Source organism: Homo sapiens, chromosome 1, assembly GCF_000001405.40.
Source record: "Homo sapiens chromosome 1, GRCh38.p14 Primary Assembly".
Taxonomy (NCBI): domain Eukaryota; kingdom Metazoa; phylum Chordata; class Mammalia; order Primates; family Hominidae; genus Homo; species Homo sapiens.
In genome coordinates, this window is record NC_000001.11 from 236502364 (window position 1) to 236522635 (window position 20272).

The 20272-nt window shown below is 42.4% G+C and overlaps 1 protein-coding gene across 5 annotated transcripts in view, besides 2 other annotated features; it reads left to right on the plus strand.

Annotated features, from left to right (window-relative positions):
• Positions 806–1100: an enhancer, noted in NCBI's record as "tiled region #2344; HepG2 Activating DNase matched - State 5:Enh, and K562 Activating DNase unmatched - State 1:Tss". NCBI's record gives its function as "activates a minimal TATA promoter and a strong SV40 promoter by Sharpr-MPRA in HepG2 and K562 cells {active_cell/tissue: HepG2 | K562}" and the evidence as "EXISTENCE:reporter gene assay evidence [ECO:0000049][PMID:27701403]".
• Positions 13938–14116: a silencer, noted in NCBI's record as "fragment chr1:236679601-236679779 (GRCh37/hg19 assembly coordinates)". NCBI's record gives its function as "represses an EF-1alpha promoter that drives an FKBP-Casp9 reporter gene in an ReSE screen in K562 erythroleukemia cells {active_cell/tissue: K562}" and the evidence as "EXISTENCE:reporter gene assay evidence [ECO:0000049][PMID:32094911]".
• The window catches only part of LGALS8 (galectin 8), a 34768-nt gene continuing 30346 nt past the window's right edge, over positions 15851–20272 (plus strand). For 2 of the 5 annotated variants that reach the window (XM_047420410.1, NM_201545.2), the window contains exons 1-2: positions 15851–15921; positions 16061–16137. The gene's annotated coding sequence lies outside the window, so the exon portion shown is untranslated. The remainder of the gene's footprint in view (positions 15922–16060; positions 16138–20272) is intronic. The other 3 variants (XM_047420409.1, XM_047420416.1, XM_047420411.1) reach the window with 2 other exon arrangements.

Genomic DNA, 20272 nt, shown 5'->3' on the forward strand with positions numbered 1-20272 from the left:
CTGTTACTATGGAAGATATTCTGGGGTATCTCTGAGATCCAAGTATTATGGCACTTAAGTAATTCCTATCTATTGTTCTACTTGGTTCCTCGGGAGTAAAAGTCATATTCAAACCAAAAAGGCTGTGGGATTTCCAGAATTTTAAAAGCAATAATAGTTAATGTTCTCCCATGGGAGTTACTCCACATTTTTACATATGTTCCATATGTTAACTCATTTAGACCTTACCTTTATGAGGTAAGTCCTCTTCTTATCCCCACTTTAGAGGTGGGAAAACTGAGGCACAGAAAGAGTAAGTTGCTTGCCTAAGGCCCTGTTACTAGCAGGTGGTGAAACCAGCATTCCAACCCGGGAGTCTGGCAAATGTGTGTGAAGAGCACACGTTTGGAAATGACAGTCATGAGGACACTGTAAGACTTCTGGAATGTTTATAATTTCACCTTTGCTTGTTATTTTTCCTGTCTGTTTCCCTAGAGTGAGCTGAGTGAAAAAAGAAAGAAGAAAGAAAGAAGAAAGAGAAAGAGAAAGAAAGGAGAGAAAAAGAAAAAAGAAAAGAAAAACAGAAAAAGGGAAAGAAAGAAGAAATGAAAGAAAGAAAAGAAAAGAAGAAAGAAAAGAAAGAGAGAAAGGAAGGAAGGAAGGTGGGAGGGGAGGAAAGGAAGAAGAAAGAAAGAAGGGGGACAGAGGGAGGGAATGAAGGAGGGAGAGAGGGAGGGAAGGAGGAAGAAATAAAAAGATGAGGATCTGTATGCTTGAGGGGTGGAGGTGGGGGGCTTGGGTGGGAGTGTGGGATGGGCAGAAAGCTGGAGGGAGCCCTGGACCGACTGCATTCCACAGAGGATTGTGGGTGCAACGTAGGTGGCAGATTGAGAAAAGCAAACAAACAAGCTCAGCCTTTGGAGCTTCGGGGAAGAAAAAAAGCTGAGCAGTGAATGCTGGCTTCCCACGGAGAAGGCAGGCTGCTTCGCCAGCTCACATCCTTCCGCGCACCCACTTCCTCTTTCCGGAGGTCACTTTAGATTGCTTTATGGCAGGATCTCCAGGTCACAGGAATGTTATGTTTCGACTGGGGTTTCCCCCTCCCCTGGGATGCCTGGGCCAGCTCCCCAAGGGCTAGTCTCTGTCCCAGGCCCCACACTCCCATAGCACTCAGCAAAAGCCTAGAGAGAGCACCGCAAAATGCCAAACGCAACAGGACCGCGTAGGAAGAAGACGCTTGGAATGACAGGGACACTAGAACTGCCCATGGTCGTGGTCTCAAATTTTTGTTCCATGGTCTGAAATACTAAAAGTTCTTAAACAGCTACTTGATTTCATACTATTGTTTTGAAGAAAACAGTGTTTGTTTGTTGTTTTGTTTGTTTGTTTGTTTGAGACAGAGTTTTGCTCTTGTTGCCGAGTTTGGTCCATGTTGGTCAGGCTGGTCTCGAACTCCTGACATCAGGTAATCCACCCACCTCTGCCTCCCAAAGTGCTGGGATTACAGGAAAACAGTTGTTTCTTTAAAACAATTATATAGGCTGGGCACGGTAGCTCATGCCTGTAATCCCAGCACTTTGGGAGGCTGAGGTGGGTGAATTACCTGAGGTCAGCAGTTCGAGACCAGCCTGGCCAACATGGTGAACCTCCGTCTCTACTAAAAATGCAAAAAATTAGCCGGGCGTGGTGGTGCATTCCTGTAATACCAGGTACTCAGGAGGCTGAGGCAGGAGAATCACTTGAACCCAGGAGGTGGAGGTTGCAGTGAGCTGAGATGGCACCACTGCACTCCAGCCTGGGCAACAAGAGCAAAACTCCATCTCACAATCTCAAAAAAATAAAATAAAATAAAATAAAATAAATGGTTATATAAGCTACCTTATTGATGCAGTTACAAATGAGCCGCTGAAACATATAAATTTTAAAGAACAAGCCACATATCTTTCATCACCCACAGCTTCACCAACTAAAGGTGTATGTAGTACTTTTGTGGAAGGCATTTCCACATGCTTTGAGGGACCTTGAAATACTGCTATGATTACATGATTTTTCTAAAACCAGACTACTCCTACATTACAAGAATTGAAAAGTTCAGAGTAAATATTTGTAAGACCTAGAAAAGATGATGTTCTTTAAAAAAAACGATGCCCATCTTTGTAGCGAAAAGAAAGAGAGATCAGACTGTTACTGTGTCTATGTAGAAACAGAAGACATAAGAGACTCCATTTTGAAAAAGACCTGTACTTTAAACAATTGCTTTGCTGAGATGTTGTTAATTTGTAGCTTTGCCCCAGCCACTTTGACCCAACTACTTTGACCCAACCTGGAGCTCACAAAAATATATGTTGTATGAAATCAAGGTTTAAGGGATCTAGGGCTGTGCAGGACGTGCCTTGTTAACAAAATGTTTGCAAGCAGTATACTTGGTAAAAGTCATCGCCATTCTCTAGTCTCAATAAACCAGGGGCACAAGGCACTGTGGAAAGCCGCAGGGACCTCTGCCCTGGAAAGCGGGGTGTTGTCCAAGGTTTCTCCCCATGTGGTAGTCTGAAATATGGCCTCGTGGGATGAGAAAGACCTGACCATCCCCCAGCCCAACACCTGTAAAGGGTCTGTGCCGAGGTGGATTAGTCAAAGAGGAAAGCCTCTTGCAGTTGAGATAGAGGAAGGCCACTGTCTCCTGCCTGCCCCTGGGAACTGAATGTCTTGGTATAAAACCCGATTGTACATTTGTTCAATTCTGAGATAGGAGAAAAACCGCCCTATGGCGGGAGGCGAGACATGTTTGCAGCAATGCTGCCTTGTTATTCTTTACTCCACCGAGATGTTTGGGTGGAGAGAAACATAAATCTGGCTTACGTGCACGTCCAGTCATAGTAACTTCCCTTGAACTTAATTATGACGTAGATTCTGTTGCTCACATGTTCGTTGCTGACCTTCTCCTTATTATCACCCTGCTCTCCTACTACATTCCTTTTTGCTGAAATAACGAAGATAATAATCAATAAAAACTGAGGGAACTCAGAGATGGTGCCGGTGCAGGTCCTTGGTATGCTGAGCGCCGGTTCCCTGGGCCCACTGTTGTTTCTCTATACTTTGTCTCTGTGTTTTATTTATTTTCTCAGTCTCTCGTCCCACCTGACTAGAAATATCCACAGGTGTGGAGGGGCAGGCCACCCCTTCACATCTTGTCTCCACTTCCTTGATTAAAAAAAAGAAAAGAAAAAAAAATTTGCCGAAGTTGGATTCATTCACAGAATTCTACACATTAAAAATGTTGCAGGTCGGGTGTGGTGGCAGCTCCCAAAGCTGCCTATAATCCCAGCGCTTTGGGAGGCTTGAGCCCAGGAGGTCAAGGCTGCAGTGAACTGAGATCGCACCACTGCACTCCAGCCTGGGCGACAGAGCAAGACCCTGTCTCAAAGAAAAAAAAAAAAACAGAAAAAAATAACGTTACAGAAAAAGTACAATATTTTTAATATATATATATATATTTTTTTTTTCTGAGACAGAGTGTTGCTCTGTCACCCAGGCCGGAGAGCTATGGCTCGATCTCAGCTCACTGCAACCTCCACCTCCCGGGTTCAAGCGATTCTCCTGCCTCAGCCTCCCGAGTAGCTGGGATTACAGGCACCCACCACCACGCCTGGCTAATTTTTGTATTTTTAGTAGAGACGGGGTTTCCCCATGTTGGCCAGGCTGGCCTCGAACTCCTGACTTTATGATCCGCCTGCCTTGGCCTCCCAAAGTGTTGGGATTACAGGTGTGAGCCACCATGCCCAGCCAAAAGTACAATATTTTTAATGACATATAAAGATGTTCATTCTTTGTGGTTGCCCTGGGTGAGAGGGACTATTGATACTCAATAGTGTTTCTTTTGTTTCTACATTGTTTCTATAGTGAAAATACGCATTGGCTTTGTATTAAAAAATGTATAGTAAAAATGGTTTTATTAAAAATAGCAAATAACTACAAAAACTCCATTGCAATGGAAAGCAGCCCTTGGATTTTCTAGTTGAATGAAACGAGTAATTTATCCAATGTTAGAAATGTCTAAAGGCTCGCTCAGGTTTCATGAGCAGAACAGGAATTGTATATCCAATTAAATGTGAAATTGCAATGCCTGGTGCGGTGGCTTATGCCTGTAATCCCAGCACTTTGGGAAGCCGAGGCAGGGGATCGCTTGAGCCCAGGAGTTCGAGACCACCATGGGTAACATGGGGAGGCCCCATCTCTACAAAAAATAAAAATCGTTAGCCGGGCAGGTTGGTGCATGCTTGTGTTCCCAGCTACTTGGGAGGCTGAGGTGGAAGGATCCTCTGAGCCCAGGAGGATGAGGCTGCAGTGAGACATGATCGATGCACTCCAGCCTGGATGACAGAGTGAGACCCTGTCTCAAAAAAAAAAAAAAAGAAAAGAAAGTACAATCGCAATTAAATGTCTTTGCGTTGGTGGCTCCTGACCAAATTCCCTAAGCAAGCAGTATGTTAATGAGCAGAGGGGCCACAGCTCACCTTGCTCAATTAAAGGCAGGAGCAGGCCGGGCGTGGTGGCTCACGCCTGTAATCCCAGCACTTTGGGAGGCCAAGGTGGGCGGATCACGAGGTCAAGAGATCGAGACCATCCTGGCCAACATGGTGAAACCCTGTCTGTACTAAAAATACGAAAATTAACTGGGCATGTGGCATGAGCCTGTAATCCCAGCTACTCGGGAGGCTGAGGCAGAAGAATTGCTTGAACCCGGGAGGTGGAGGTTGCAGTGAGCCGAGATTGCACCACTGCCCTCCAGCCTGGTGACAGAGCGAGACTTCATCTTAAAAAAAAAAAAAAAAAAGGCAGGAGCAAGTATGGGCCAGACAGAAATCAAGGTGTAAATTGGGCAGATCCTCAGGCCCAGTGCTGAATTTTGGTTTGATGAAATAAAACATTACATTTCAAGGTTGGCAGAGAGGAATGAAGGTGGAAGAGGAATCTAGGGCCATTTAGGGAAGCCATGAAGCCTCCTGCCCACACTAGTGGGTAGAGTGGAGCCAGGCGTTTTGCTAGGGCTTGCTATATCTCTTGGCAGGGTGCTCTGCTGCCAAAGCCAAGAATTCTAAATTAGATTAAATAGCCAGAAAGAATGTTAAACATTTGGACATGATATCCTCCCTCACAGATTAGCTAGAGTGTAGTTCTGCTGTGCTAGATACTTAAATAAATACCTCCCTAGCTGTGAAGCCTGCTTATCACAGTACTATATTTTAGGATGAGGTCATTATTTTCCTATGCATACACATGCATTGTATAATCTTGCCAATGTAGGTCAGCCCAAAAGAAGTGACAAATGTGTAGAACACACATTGGACTAGCTTGGGACAAAATTAGTATACCTAAAGATGACAGATTTCTTAACTAATTTTATGAGCCATGCAGCTTTGTATTCTAGCAGAGACAGACATTAGGAATCTTATAAAATCAAAAATTTTAATTTTTGCCTGAATAGCTCCAAAGGGCTAAGATCTCAAGCAAATGCGTGTAGGTTTTGTTTTTGTGGTTGTTGTTGTTTTTAGAGACAGGGTCTTGCTCTGTCACCCATGCTGAAGTGCAGCGGTGCAGTCCTAGCTCACTGCAGCCTTGACCTCTCAGGCTTAAGTGATCCTCCTGCCTTAGCCTCCCGAGTAGCTGGGACTACAGGCGCATGCCACCACCCCGAGTAATTTTTTATTTTTATTTTTACTTTTGTAGAGACAGGGGTCTCAATATGTTGCTCAGGCTAGTATCTTTTTTCTTTTTGAGACAGTCTCGCTCAATTGCCCAGGCTGGAGTGCAGTGGTGCCATCTCGGCTCACTGCAAGCTCCGCCTCCCGGGTTCACGCCATTCTCCTGCCTCAGCCTCCCGAGTAGCTGGGACTACAGGCGCCCGCCACCATGCCCAGCTAATTTTTTTTGTATTTTTAGTAGAGACGGGGTTTCACCGTGTTAGCCAGGATGGTCTCGATCTTCTGACCTCGTGATCCACCCGCCTCAGCCTCCCAAAGTGCTGAGATTACAGGCGTGAGCCCTCGCGCCCGGCCCAGTCTTGTAACTTAACTTTAAAGCTACTTATTCCCAAATGAAGATGGGATGGTACACAGATTTTAAGTATTAGCTGGTTTGGAGCTTCTGTCTTTTAAAGCAACATTTTACTTTGCCACAGGGTGGTGGGGCGGGGGCCATCCTAGAAAGAAGAGTGTGAGTTTCATGGGATAGGGTCTGGGGAGGTGGCTGGAGGAGTTTAGGTTCTTTTGATATCTGTGGCTACACAGACAGATAACCAAGGAAAATGTCCAAACAGTGAAATTAAGTGCTCACTGCACTAACACAGAGAAGGACCCTGATGTCTGGCCGCAGGCCTTTGTTCTCATTGGCTTCAAAGAACTTCTTGATGTCTACCTTAATTTCATTATTATTTACCCAGGAGTCATTCAGGAGCAGGTTGTTCAATTGCCATGTAGTTATGTGGTTTTGAGTGAGTTTCTTAATACTGAGTTCTAATTTGATTGTGCTGTGGTCTGAGACACTGTTTCGATTTCAGTTCTTTTGCATTTGCTGAGGAATGTTTCATTTCCAATTATGTGGTCGATTTTAGAGTAAGTGCCACGTGACGCTGAGAAGAATACATATTCTGTTGATTTCGGGGGGGAGAGTTCTGTAGATATCTATTAGGTCCACTTGATCCAGAGCTGAGCTCAAGTCTTGAATATCCTTATTCATTTTCTGTCTCGTTAATCTGTCTAATATTGACAGTGGGGTATTCAAGTCTCCCACTATTATTGTGTGGAAGTTTAAGTCTCTGTGTAGGTCTCTAAAAACTTGTTTTATGAATCTGGGTGCTCCTGTATTGGGTGCATATGTATTTAGGAGAGTTAGCTCTTCTTGTTGAATTGCTCCCTTTACCATTATGTAATGCCCATCTTTGTCTTTTTTGATCTTTGTTGGGATAAAATTACATTTTATGTCCCCCTTCCTATAGTTTGTCACTGAGGGTTGGCAGAAGTTGAAAGGAAGAAGACATTTGGGTGTTTGGTTTGGGGTTATATTAGGTTATAAGGTTCATTGCCTCCACCTCTTTCAAAACATTTAGTTTCTAAATGAATCCAGCTTTAAATGACTGCAGGAGTGCCCATGCACAATTTTGTTTCTCAAATCTTTGGGATTTTTCCTTGAAGAATATTCACAGGGAATGGGGCTGTCTTGCTTCATAGTTACTCTTTTGTATACATGATCTCAAGAATCGCCTGATCACTGCTAGAGTTAAACCAATACACTAACTGCCTGAAGTGCTGAAAAGTCAAATGGGGGCTTAGAACCTCACTCCAGATCCTACACAAGCTGATGGTTCTGTTCCCAGAAACAACCCAGCTTCCTCATCATCTATGGCCAGTGCCTTGTAGCGGAGCTGGAGATCACCCTTTAGTGGGCTCTTCAGCTGGATCTAGAAATCAAATTGACACCAGGCAGATTAACAAGAGAAAAGTATACAGATTTTATTGCTTTTATATGTACTTGGGAATCTGCACAAGGGCAAAGTCCGAAGAGGTGGCCAAAGCAAGGTGCTTTTATACATTTTTAGAAAAAGAGCCAAAAAATTGGAGAAGAAATGATAGGACAAAGAAAATCTAGCCAGGCAGTAAATTTTCTAGGAGAATCACTAGGACATATATGAGGAAGGGTGTGTAAAACAGGTGAAAGATAAGGGCTAGTTCATTAAACATGTTTACTCTGGTCCATTGTAGCCTCTACGATAAGGAGTATTTTCTCGCTCTGGTGTGGACAGGGCACGCCTCCCAGAGCAACCTTTATCACTTACTGCATGCAGGAAGAGACAGGTCAGCCCGCCCTTCCTGAAACTACAATTTCTTCAGTGTTTTCAACTCAAAATAATCAATACCCCCCATCTGGCATATCTGGGGATGGCACGTCCTTTACTCCTTCAGGCTCTTCTCCCTGAAGGTCCTTTGCATAGTTGGGAATCTCCACCAGGAGGGGTAGCTCTTTGGTCTAAACCCATGGTGGCAGAGTTTCGACAATATTCCCAACTTAAATGTTTCTGATTCTGAGTGGTGGTTAGATCCCTTTGTACACCCCTGTCCCCAGTGCCTACAGAATGGGCATGTTAATAAGTGTTGGCTGAACATTCAATGATGGATAAGGAAGAATAGGAGGCAAGAGAGACGGTGGTCTCCAGTGCCAAGCCCCAGTGCTAACTGGGGTGATTTTTTTTCATGACTCATTTTCCTAAAATCACCCTCAAGGGTCCTACAAAACTCTTCCCAACAGCTAAATCACAGACTAATCTGGCCCATCGACGTCTTCCCTGATTATACTAATTTTTTTGTGTTTTTTTTTTTGAGATGGAGTCTTGCTCTGTCACCCAGGTTGGAGTGCAATGGCACTATCTCAGCTCACAGCAACTTCCACCTCCTGGGTTCAAGCGATTCTCCTGCCTCAGCCTCCTGAGTAGCTGGGACTGCCAGCATGCGCCACCATGCCCGGCTAATTTTTTTTTTTTTTTTTTTAGTAGAGATGAGATGGGGTTTCACCATGTTGGCCAGGGTGGTCTTGAACTCCTGACCGCAAGTGATCCGCTTGCCTCGGCCTCCCAAAGTGCTGGGATTACAGGTGTGAGCCACTGCGCCCGACCATATATTAATGGTTTTTGATGAATTTGTTCCATAGATTAAAATCTTGTGCCCCATCGCGTGTGGGGCTCCATCGCATGTGGGGCACAGGGTTCCTGAGTGTTTGTGGCTGTCAAACCAAGATGATTTCTTGCTTAATCAAGCAGATTTGAAAGTTCATCTCTGCTACCAGGAAGCACTTGCTCAACTCAGAAGACAATGTCCTATCAGTCTTTCACTATCACGCATCTGTTCTTCAAGATCCGTCAAATTAGCTCCAGTGAAACGGAGGCTAAAGTGAAACTTTTTCTCTTATATAGATTTTTATTCATAACTAGGGAAAAATTAGGCACCCACAGAAAAATAATAACCTAAAAAAATTAGGCTGAACGTAAGAAAAATTTGTGATGAAATAAACATTTCAATCAACAGAAAATATTTTTCTGACTTTTTATGTGCCACCATTAGTTACATCATTGAGAAAACAATATTTGTATTAAAAAAAGAGCTGGTGAAAATCTGGCAATTGGTCGGGCATAGTGGCTCGTGCCTGTAATCCCAGCACTTTGGAAGGCCGAGGCAGGCGGATCACTTGAGGTCAGGAGTTTGAGGCCAGCCTGACCCACGTGGTGCAACCCCCTCTCAACTAAAAATACAAAAATTAGCTGGGCGTGGTGGCAGGCGCATGTAATCCCAGCTACTAGGGAGGTTAAGGCAGGAGAATTGCTTGAATCTGGGAGATAGAGGTTGCAGTGAGCCGAGACTGAGCCACTGCCTTCCAGCCTGGTGACAGAGCAAGACTTCATCTCTCTCTCTTTTACTTTTTTTAAAGACTTCTTCTCAAAAATAAAAAGAAAGAAAGAAAATCTGGCAATCCAGTAAAAACTGGCCACTATGGCATGCATGTGCTATGCATAAACGTAAATTGATGCATAAACTTAATTTTAGAACTGGAAGGAAATCTGGAGTTCTTTAGGAGCCAGGTTTTACACATGCAGAAACCTAACAGCTTCAGTTTCGATTCGATAAAATTTGACTAACTAAACTTAAGATAAGCATAGTTACGCATTAGAGTATTAACTCTCAAACTTTTAAAAAAGAATTCTTCCTTTGCTTGTTAATTTTCTTTCTTTCTTTTTTTTTTTTTTGAGATAGGGTCTTGCTGTCGTCCAGGCCGAAGTGCAGTGACGTCATCATAGTTCACTGCAGCCTCTACCTCCCCGGCTCAAGTAATCCTCCTGCCTCAGCCTTCTGAGTATCTGGGACTACAGGCATGAGCCACCATGCCCAGCCTTTTCTTTTCTTTTCTTTCTTTTCTTTCTCTCTCTGTCTCTCTTTCTTTCTTTTTTCCTCCCTTTCTTCTTTTTTTTTGATGGAGTCTTGCACTATCGCCAGGCTGGAATGCAGTGGTGCGATCTTGGCTCACTGCAACCTCCGCCTCCGGGTTCAAGCAATTCTCCTGCCTCAGCCTCCTGAGTAGCTGAGACTACAGGTGTGTGCCACCACGCCAGCTAATTTTTTTATTTTTCTAGAGACGGGGTTTTACCATGTTGGCCAGGATGGTCTTGATCTCCTGACCTCATTCTCCACCTGCCTAGGCCTCCCGAAGTGCTGGGATTACAGGCATGAGCCACCGTACCTGGCCCTTTCTTTCTTTTTATCAAGACAACAACATGTCTTTATAGTGCTCCCAAGGCTAAAGTATACCTTACGTCTATGTAAACACTCAACCTGAGCTTTGCAATGGCCCATGTTGGCAGTAGTGCAAACAAAAACAATTATGAAACCCATTTTCCTTTGACAAAGAGAAATAAGTGGCAAGAATTGGTTCTTTCTCTTAGTATGGGTCTCTGAAAAGAACCAGATCAGTCAAAAGGGGAATATTTTTCTGAAGGGATAGGTTTGGCCTAGTGGCTTCTACCTCTTTTAGATGACTGCTGTTTCTCGTTTTAATGTTAAATAGACACTAATAGGAGAAATCACATTAATTCAGTCAACAAACATTTACTGAGCACTTCCTGTAGTCAGGCCCTCTGTTAACTTCTGGGAATACAATGACAACTCTGACAATCCCAACCCAAGGAGCCAACAAGTCCGGGAATAGAGACAGACAAGAAAACAGACAATTACAACTCTACCGTTAGAATAAAGGTACATTGAGAACTTGCAACAAATATTCCTCATCCCTTATCTTAATTATTCATAACATGTTTACCACCAATAAGAATAGCAATAACAATAAATGCCCAACTCAGACAGCAATGTCCATTTACCCTGTGTTTACACAGCATAATACAAGCAAGCTGTGGACAGAGATTCTCTTGTTTAGTCCTCACAACTCTGCAAGGTGGGTTTTATTACTCTCCATTTCTAGATAAAGGATCTCACCTAATATTACATGGGCCAGTGGTCTTCCAGTTGGGGTATGCACAACCCTAGGGGTAGGTGAGGACCCTGCCTGGGGTCTTCAGGTGGGGACCATCAACCTCCATTTGTACTCTTTTCTGAACATTGGTCTGAGACAGAAAGTCCCTGCAATTAAGGCATTAAGCTGGCTCTTTTTCTATTTCTCATTTCATAATTGCCCTTCTCCTGCTTTACCAAAATCTTTCACCCCCCATCATATATATATATCCCCATACATATTCTATATATACATACCCTACATATGCATGCACACACATCATATATATGTATGCATATATGATATATACATATATGCTATGTAAACATATATAGTGTGTATATACATGTGTGTATGTGTATATGTGTGTATATGTGTATATATACACGTGTGTGTGTACATATATACATCATATATGTGTGTCTATATATGTATATATGGGTGTGTCTATATATGTGTATATGTACGCAAATACGTATATGTGATGTATATATATAAGATGTGTGTGTGTATATATATGTGTTTGCATGTGTGTGTGTATATATATATAGTATATACATATTTTTTGAGACAGCATCTCACTCTGTCGCCCAGGCTGAAGTTCGGTGGCTGATGACAGCTCACTGCAGCCTCCCGGCTCAAGTGATTCTTCCACCTCAGCTTCCTGAATGGCTGGGACTAGAGGCGTGTGTCACCACACCCAGTTAGTTATTTTATTTTTCGTAGAGATGGTGGTCTCACTGTATTGCCCAGGCTGGTCTCGAACTCCTGGGCTCAAGCGCTTTTCCACCTCGACTTCCCAAATTGCTGGGATTACAGGTGTGAGCCACTGCACCGGCCCATCCTTTATTTTAATATTATGCAGTGCCCTGAGACATATAAAAAACCCACCTTCCCAAGTAAAGGAAATTCAAGCTGATGCCTGCAGAGCCTTCTTTAACAAAGGCTCTGAAATACCCTCTCTCATTAAAATGATACTTTCCAATAAAATTTTGTTTAACAATGATTTACAAAATGATAAAATTTATTTATTTTGATTGTGTATGGATCATGGTAACAATAAAAAGACTTGTAAAAATAACTAAATTGAAAGAATCTTGAACATTTAGAGCCTTAAGACTGTAGGAATTGAAGACCACAGAATTATTAATTTATATTAATATTTTTGTTGCAGAGACATAATGAATGATCAACGAAAGGCTTTTAAGCGTTAAAAATATATTACACTAGATAAAATTATTTGCGGGAATGGGATGGAAATACATTTTCAAGAGAGAAAGGAGCAATGTAAAATGAAGATGTAAAATCCTTCTGCTGGTTGTCCTTGGGGTTTTCTTTTAAAGAAAAGCTTGGCAGTGTTTTTCTTTTTTTCCATTGGATGATGGTGAATATCAAATCACTTTGGTGCTAATATTTCATTTAATACATTAATTTTAAAATTTTCTGTAGAGGTGGGATCTCACTATGTTGTCCAGGCTGGTTTCAAACTCCTGGCCTCAAGCAATCTCCCTGCCTCAGCCTCCCACAGTGCTGGGATTACAGGTGTGAGCCACTGCATCCGGCCCCATTTAATACATTTAAAAGAGTGGTGTAACAATTTTTATTTAAAATGTCATATTTACAATATTCTAGAATGTATATCTTTTCAACTCATTAAACCTAAACATCCTTGTAAAAAGTGTGAAAAGTTATATAGTTTTTCAAAATTCGATTAGCAGTTACATAAGCATAAATGTTTAAAGTATGTATGGTACAGCCAGGCTTCAGTTCCCTGTCTTAAACACAAAGATCCATATCAATTCCAGATACTGCAATGGTTTGCTGTTTTTCCTGCTTCCCCCATCTCCAAATAAACTAAAGCATCAACATGCCTCACCTCACATAACCCTAAGTTTTCAGCAGTTGGCAGTTACACCTGGAAACCATTTTTCTAAAATAAACAACAACTGTTTGCTTACGGATCAAAATGCAAAGGACCATAACATTTAGCCTCACCTTCCTACTACAGATCGAGTTTAAAAGTGCCATGGTATAGCTAAATTATGAAGAAAGATATGAATATAACTGCAAAAGTGGAAGGAGATTTGGGATAATTCTTGCCCATTTTGTTAGGCCAAATGCATCTTTGTGCAAATTAGAAAAAGGTGGTCTTCATCCCTTCACTCCTATCCTTTTGGGGGTGGAGGGGCAGTGGCTAAAGTACAGACTAGGTTTCAGCTACCACATCCTCCTTCAGTTAGCTGCCCTCGGCGTGACAGAAACATGTGCAAACAGCCCTGTGCCTTTGTCTTATGTTCCAGCCAGCCAAGAAAAATAGTTGTAAAAGAGCAGCTGCTGTTTGGGGTAATGACCTTGGACCCTCCCCAATTTGTTCCAAGCCTGTTTTTGTATTCATTTTTCCCACATTTATGTTCCTGGATGGAAGCTTCCATATCTGCTCTTGGCCCTATTTGAAATTCCCCAGATTTCCTTCCTGGCTCCTGGCCTTTGGTTTTTCATGTGGCTCCTGATCCCACACGCTCCCTGAATTTGGATTCTCCTGTCATTTCAGGTGCGAGGTTTCCCACTACAGCCTCTTGGGCCTCACCTCCAATACCTCTTTCCCATCAGAACAGCCCGGACCTTCCCCTATGGTAGAGCAGAGACAGAATTTAAATGAATTCTCAAGAAGTGCTTGGACTCATATCTAGCAAAATTACATGGCATTTAACCTTTGACACAAAAAATGCAGCTTCTAGGAATCTATCTAAAGATACACTGTGGCAAATATACAAAAAGAAGCATTATTTATCAAGCACTATTTCCTAATAAAATAATTCTTAGGTCAGGCGCAATGGCTCAGGCCTGTAATCCCAGCACCCTGGGAGGCTGAGGAAGGCAGATGGCTTGAGCTCTGGAGTTCAGGACCAGCGTGGGTAACATGACAAAACCCCATCTCTAACAAAAATACAAAAATTAGCCGGGCATGGTGGCATGCACCTGTAGTCCCAGCTACTCGAGAGGCTGAGGTGGGAGGATCGCTTGAGCCTGGGAGGCACAGGTTGCAGTGAGCCAAGATCGCACCACTGCACTCCAGCCTGGGTGACAGAGTGAGACCCTGTCAAAGAAAGAGAGAGAGAGAGAGAAAGGAAAGAAAGGAAGAAAGGAAGAAAGAGAAAGGAAAGAGAAAGAAAGAGAAAAAGAAAGAAAGAAGGAAAGAAAGAAAGAAAAAAGAAAGAAAAAGAAAGAGAAAGGAGAAAAAGAATTCTTACTAATAAATGCAGGAGAAATGATAGAATTGAAATATCACCATTTTCAATTCCTAATGAAATAACGTATCTAGGCAATGACCATCAATAGCTAGATGCTAAAATCATCTGATCAAACACTGATGGGAACTTCGTAACAGATGGATCAGGCTAACAACATCTGAAACCACTAACTGGTTTTGATGTCATAAAAAGAAAAACAACCAGATATTTTCTGTCTCCTGATGAGTTGCAATTGGAGCTACATATCACCTGTAAAGTCTTCTGGCCAAAAAATTAAGCCCAGCCGGACCTTATTAAACCTTTAAATCTAACAATTAGTTTTGAAGCTTTTACAGATTAAATGAAGTCTGAGATTTGCTTCAAAATGAACCAGTGGTGGGGAGGAAGTGGGTGAGGTGTAGGTGAAACAAGATTGGCCACGTCGATAATTGCTGGAGCTGGGCGATGAAAGCACAGGTATTTATCACACCATCTCTCTACTTTTGTGTGTTTTTTTGTTTGTTTTTGGTTTTGGTTTTAAGGAGCAGAGAGTCTAATAGGCAAGAAAGAAAAGAGAAGGCTGAAGGAAGACGCTCCCCCGTACAGAGACAGAGGGAGGGGGCTCCAAAGCCGAAAGAGGAGGTCCTCTTGTGTATGTTTTAAAATACTCCCAGATAAAATATTTTTGGAAGAGTACTTGGTTGGATTCAACAGCTTTTTTTTAATTTAAAAAAATCACCTCAATTTTTTTGCTTGCTCTAACGTGCCATAGAAATTCCTGAGGTTTTACTTGTTGCTTTACAATGAACTGTGTAAACACAAGCTGGAAGAGATCAGCTATGCGCTGGAAGGGTTGGTTAAATATTGAGACTGCCTTGCTGAGGGAAGCCTTTTAATGAATCTCAGTAATTTTGCAAGAGAAAAGATAACAATGAACACTACATTAAACATCATTCTTTTGCACTTTGCTAAATATGTGTATGTAAATTACTGTCTGACTGTTACTGGATATATACAGCATATACATATGCACTTTTTTTACTGTTTTTTTTTTTTTTTTTTTTTTTTTTTTTTTACAGAGCTTGCTCTGTCACCTAGGCTGGAGGGCAGTGGCGCAGTCTCAGCTCACTGCAATCTCCGCCTCCCAGGTTCAAGCGATTCTCCTGTCTCAGCCTCCAAAGTAGCTGGGACTACAGGCGCCTGCCACCGCTCCTGGCTAATTTTTGTATTTTTAGTAGAGACAGGGTTTCACTATGTTGTCCAGGCTGGTCTCGAACTCCTGACCTCGTGATCCATCTGCCTCGGCCTCCCAAAGTGCTGGGATTACAGGCATAAGCCACCGCGCCCGGCCCATGTATACTATTTATACATTTTTAGTATCATTTTGTCTTTACATTTTACATAATTTCAGATACATTTTCCTCATATCAAATAATTCAGCATTTTTTAGTACTAACATCATAGTCTGTAAGCCATTCAAAAAATGTATTTCACAAAATAGGCTATCTCATCCTTTGAGCTATTGAGATGAATTAATTTATACTCCTCCTAAGATCCCTCTCGTCACTAAGATTCTTTTATTTTATGACAAAACCATAGTTCTAGAAGCTTGTTTCTCCCACCTGAAAAGACTGGATTTGGGACATGATCCTGTAGAACTTCGGAGGTAAGCCTGGTGAATCAGATCATAGGGGGTCTGGAGGGTGAAAAAAAAGAGTTTGGTGCTCATGGATGGGGCTAGTATTGGGGTGTAGGGGAGATTAGGTCAAAGCAAGAGGATTCAAAGGAGAAATGAATTCCTTTAGATTGGGGAAGATAATCGGAAGAGGTAGAAGACACCGTCCATGACACTTCCTGGGGAAGCAGATGTATGTATAAGGATGTGAGTATTGTGGTTTTGTAAAGAATGCATTCCTGAAGATGTTGCATAATTTAAAACCTACATATTTTGATTAATTTTCTCATGAGAATAGCAGGGTATGTGTTCTCGGCGCTCACAAATGTATAATCCATTGTGGCAAATTTTTGCTTTCACATATTTTTTTTTATCATTATTGTCACAGGTTCTGTGACGGAGTTCTGGTTTCTAAATTCACAGCATACCAAGGCAGTTCTTTAAAGTTCTTGATACTCTTTTATCATATCTAACTTGTATTCCAAAATTATTGAGTTGGAGCACATTTTCCCAGCACTTAGCACCGCTATTTCATGGATGGTTGGAGAGGGGGTCCAAAAATTTTACAATCATGTTAACAAAAGTGACACAGCAACAAAACAATAAGCAAAATCACTGCCAGAGTATTCCTTAGCTTGAAACAATACGGTTCACATCGATAGAATATGGCATCTATTTCTGTTTAATCAGTTAACCCTGCTAAGTAGCAAGAGCTTACAATTCATGTCTAAAATCATGATTTTTTTACTAGTTTTTTAAAAAATGTGGGCTCTATATATATAATTTAACATTTTGCTTGTAAGACTTAATTTTGCCTGGGTATGGTGGCTCATGCCTGTAATCCTAGCACTTCAGGAGGTTGAGGCAGGAGGACTGCTTGAGCCCAGGAGTTCAAGACCAGCCTGGGCAACACAGTGGGACCCCATCACTACCAAAAAAAAAAAAAAATTAGTCAGGCATGGTGGTGTGCACTTGTAGTCCCAGCTACTTGGGAGGCTGAGGTGGGAGGATCACTTGAGCCCAGGAGGTCACTGCTGCAGTGAGCCATTATTGTACCACAACACTCCAGCCTGGGTAATAGAGTGAGACTCTGTCTCAAAAAAAAAAAAAGACTATTTCTAAATGTGTGGCTATATTATACCATATAAATGTGGCTTCTTGGGCAAGGAAAGAGGACAATATAGATGAAAAAGAAATTGATCCTACCAGAAGTGATCCTTTTATCTGCATAACTCTCAGGCAGTTGTGGCAAATAATTGGCAATATCTATTGTTCTGAAACTGGTTTTCGCAACTTTTATTGGGAACACCATCCCCTCTCCTGCATGATCAGTTTCTCCTCTCCACGGATCATTCACATGAGTAAAGTCAGTAGCGTGCTGGTAAATGTTTAAGATCTTGTTCTTTGGGGGAAAAAGTTCCTAAGTTCTAGCAGTTGCCCTGGATAACTTCAAGGTATCAACATGGAAGTTATGTACAAAAATGGCTGTCACAAGCCAGTATGAGCTAACACCAACATACTACCCAGTGTTCTTCAAACTTCAGCTCACAGCCCATTAGTGGGGCTTGCAAACATTTTAGTGGACTATAAGCAGCATTTTTTTAAAATGAAAAAGTAGATTGTTTTACACATAACAGGAGTATTGTTTTGTACAATTTTTTTTTTTTTTTTTTTTTTTTTTTAGACACAGTTTCACTCTGTTGCCCAGGCTGGAGTACAGTGGTACAATCTCAGCTCACTGCAACCTCGGCCTTCTGGGTTCAAGCGATTCTCATGCCTCAGCCTCCCGAGTAGCTGAAATTACAGGCATGCGCCACAAGGCCCAGCTAATTATTGTATTTTTAGTAGAAACAGGGTTTCACCATATTGGCCAGGCTGGTCTCAAACTCCTGACCTCAAGTGATCCACCTGCCTCGGCTTCCCAAAGTGCTGGGATTACAGGAGTGAGCCAACGTGCCTGGTCAAAATTTTTGTTTTCGTAATTTTAAGTATGTGTGTAGTAAGTCTCAATGGAAATGTAATTCTTATGGCAGGTCACTTGAAAAAAAAGAAGTCTAAAAGTCACCAATGTAGTATCTTCTCTTTAAAAAAAAAAAAAAAACAACAGGAGAAAACCTGAATCTGCCCTTTGCTCCACTCCTTCCTCAGCTATAATGCTGCTTCTCCATTCCTCCTCACAGCAAACCTTTCTGAAATCTTTATAGTCATGGTTTCCACCAGTTCTTCACCTCCCATTTCTCAACACACTTCAGAGTCAGAGTCAGCAATGACATCCATGTTCCTAAGCCCATTGCTTACTTCCGTCCTCCTTGGCCTCTCAGCACACTTGGCACACAGGCTGTTTCTCTTTCTTTGGCATCTGTGACACCACTCTCAGCAAATTCCCCTGGTTGTCCCTTCTCAGTCTCATTTATTGGCGTTGTCTTATCTCCCCAGGGCTGTCCGAGGTGATTTTCTCCCACTACTCTCCTAGGTGGTGCCATCCAATCTCATGATGTCATATCATTCTTCCCTCATGCTTCAGCCATACTGGTTGGTGGCCTTTGTTTCCTGAACACATTTAATGCATTCTCAAGACCCTCAGGGACTTTGCAGCAGCTGCTCGCTAAGGCTGGAATGCTCTTCCCCACCATCTTCATATGGCTGTTTCCTTTCTTTCACTCACCAGCAGCTTAAACTTTGACTCCTCTGAGAGACTTTCCTTGTCACCCAACTAAGGTTGCCACTCAGGTGCTCCCAATTTAATCTTCTCTAAAACACATCACTGTATGTGTCCTCAACTAGAGTATAAGCTTCCTCGAAACAAGAACAATCAAAACTCCTTGCCCTCATGGAGTTTATAGTCTTATGATGGGTGAAGTAACATAAAATAAAAAGGCACCTTATATAGTATATTAGCATGACAAATGTTAGCCAGAAATAAAGCAAGGAAGAGTTGCTAGGGAGTGTGTATGAGTGTGTTTTGGGAGAGTGTTTGCAATTTTAAATATTGGTGGTCAGGAAGGGCCCCACTGAGAACTGACATTTGAGTAGACTTGAAAAGGGAAAAGGAAATATTGAGTAAAGATTTTAGGATGGGAGTGTGACAGGCCTGCTAGGAGAATAGCAAAGTCGCTGTGGCTGCTGCAGAAAAAGTGAGAAGGAAAGTAGTAGGAGATGAAATCACAGTGTGTGAGGATTCGGGCAGATCAGGAAGTGCTCGTGTAAGAACTGGATCTTTACTCAAAGAATGAGCAAAAATTAGTAGACGGTTGGCCGGATGCAGTGGCTCACACCTGCAATCCCAGGTTACAGGAGGCCGAGGCGGGCGGATCACTTGAGGTCAGGAGTTCAAGACTAGCCTGGGCAACATGGTGAAACCTCATCTCTACTAAAAATACAAAACTTAGCTGGGCATGGTGGCGCGCACCTGTAGTCCCAGCTACTCAGGAGGCTGAGGCACATGAATCACTTGAACACGGTAGGCAGAGGCTGCAGTGAGCTGAGAATGTAACACTGTACTCCACTCCAACCTGGGCAACAGAGTGAGACTGCCTCAAAAAAAAAAAAAAGTAGGTTTTAGTAAGGGATTAACATGATCTGAATTATGTTTTGTCATGACTTCTCTGGCTGTTGTGTTGAGACTACATTGCAGAGGGGCAAGGGCAAATATAGGGAGACCGATTAGGATACTGCAGTAATAATGTAAGAGATGTGGGACTCTATCTAGAAGGGCCCATGAGGTCCTTTGCATGCTAGTATTCTTTACTGCTGTGCCTGGCCATGATAGGCATTCAGTGAATATTTGCTTATTTAAAATAACACACTGGGCTAATTGAACAACAGTGCCAAATGAGGGAGATATTTCTAGGAATAAGTTCTTAGGATTTATGAACATTTTAATCCAGATTTTCTTTGTTAACTCTGCTCTCTGGCCCTTTCACTCAGCCCCGTTTGCACCTAAATATGACTTACAAAAGAAACACAGCATTTATGTGTACTTATTTCAACTTATTTTAGCTTTGTAAAGAAGTACAAGGTTGACTCAGGGCCCAGCTTGGTGTCTCATGCCTGTAATTTCAGCATTGTGGGAGGCCAAGGCAGGAAGATATTGTGAGCCCAGGAGTTTGAGACCAGCCTGGGCAACACAGTGGACCCTGTCTCTACAAAAAAAAATTTTTAAATTAGCTGGGCATAGTGGTGTGCGTCTATAGTCCCAGCTACTCCTGGGGCTGAGGTGGGAGGATCACTTGAGGGAAACCCTGTCTCAAAGTGGCGGGGCTGGGGGGAGACTCAGGCAGAATTGTGAAGATATTCAATTGCTCCTGACTTTATCAATAATCTAACATTTCAACCTAACATT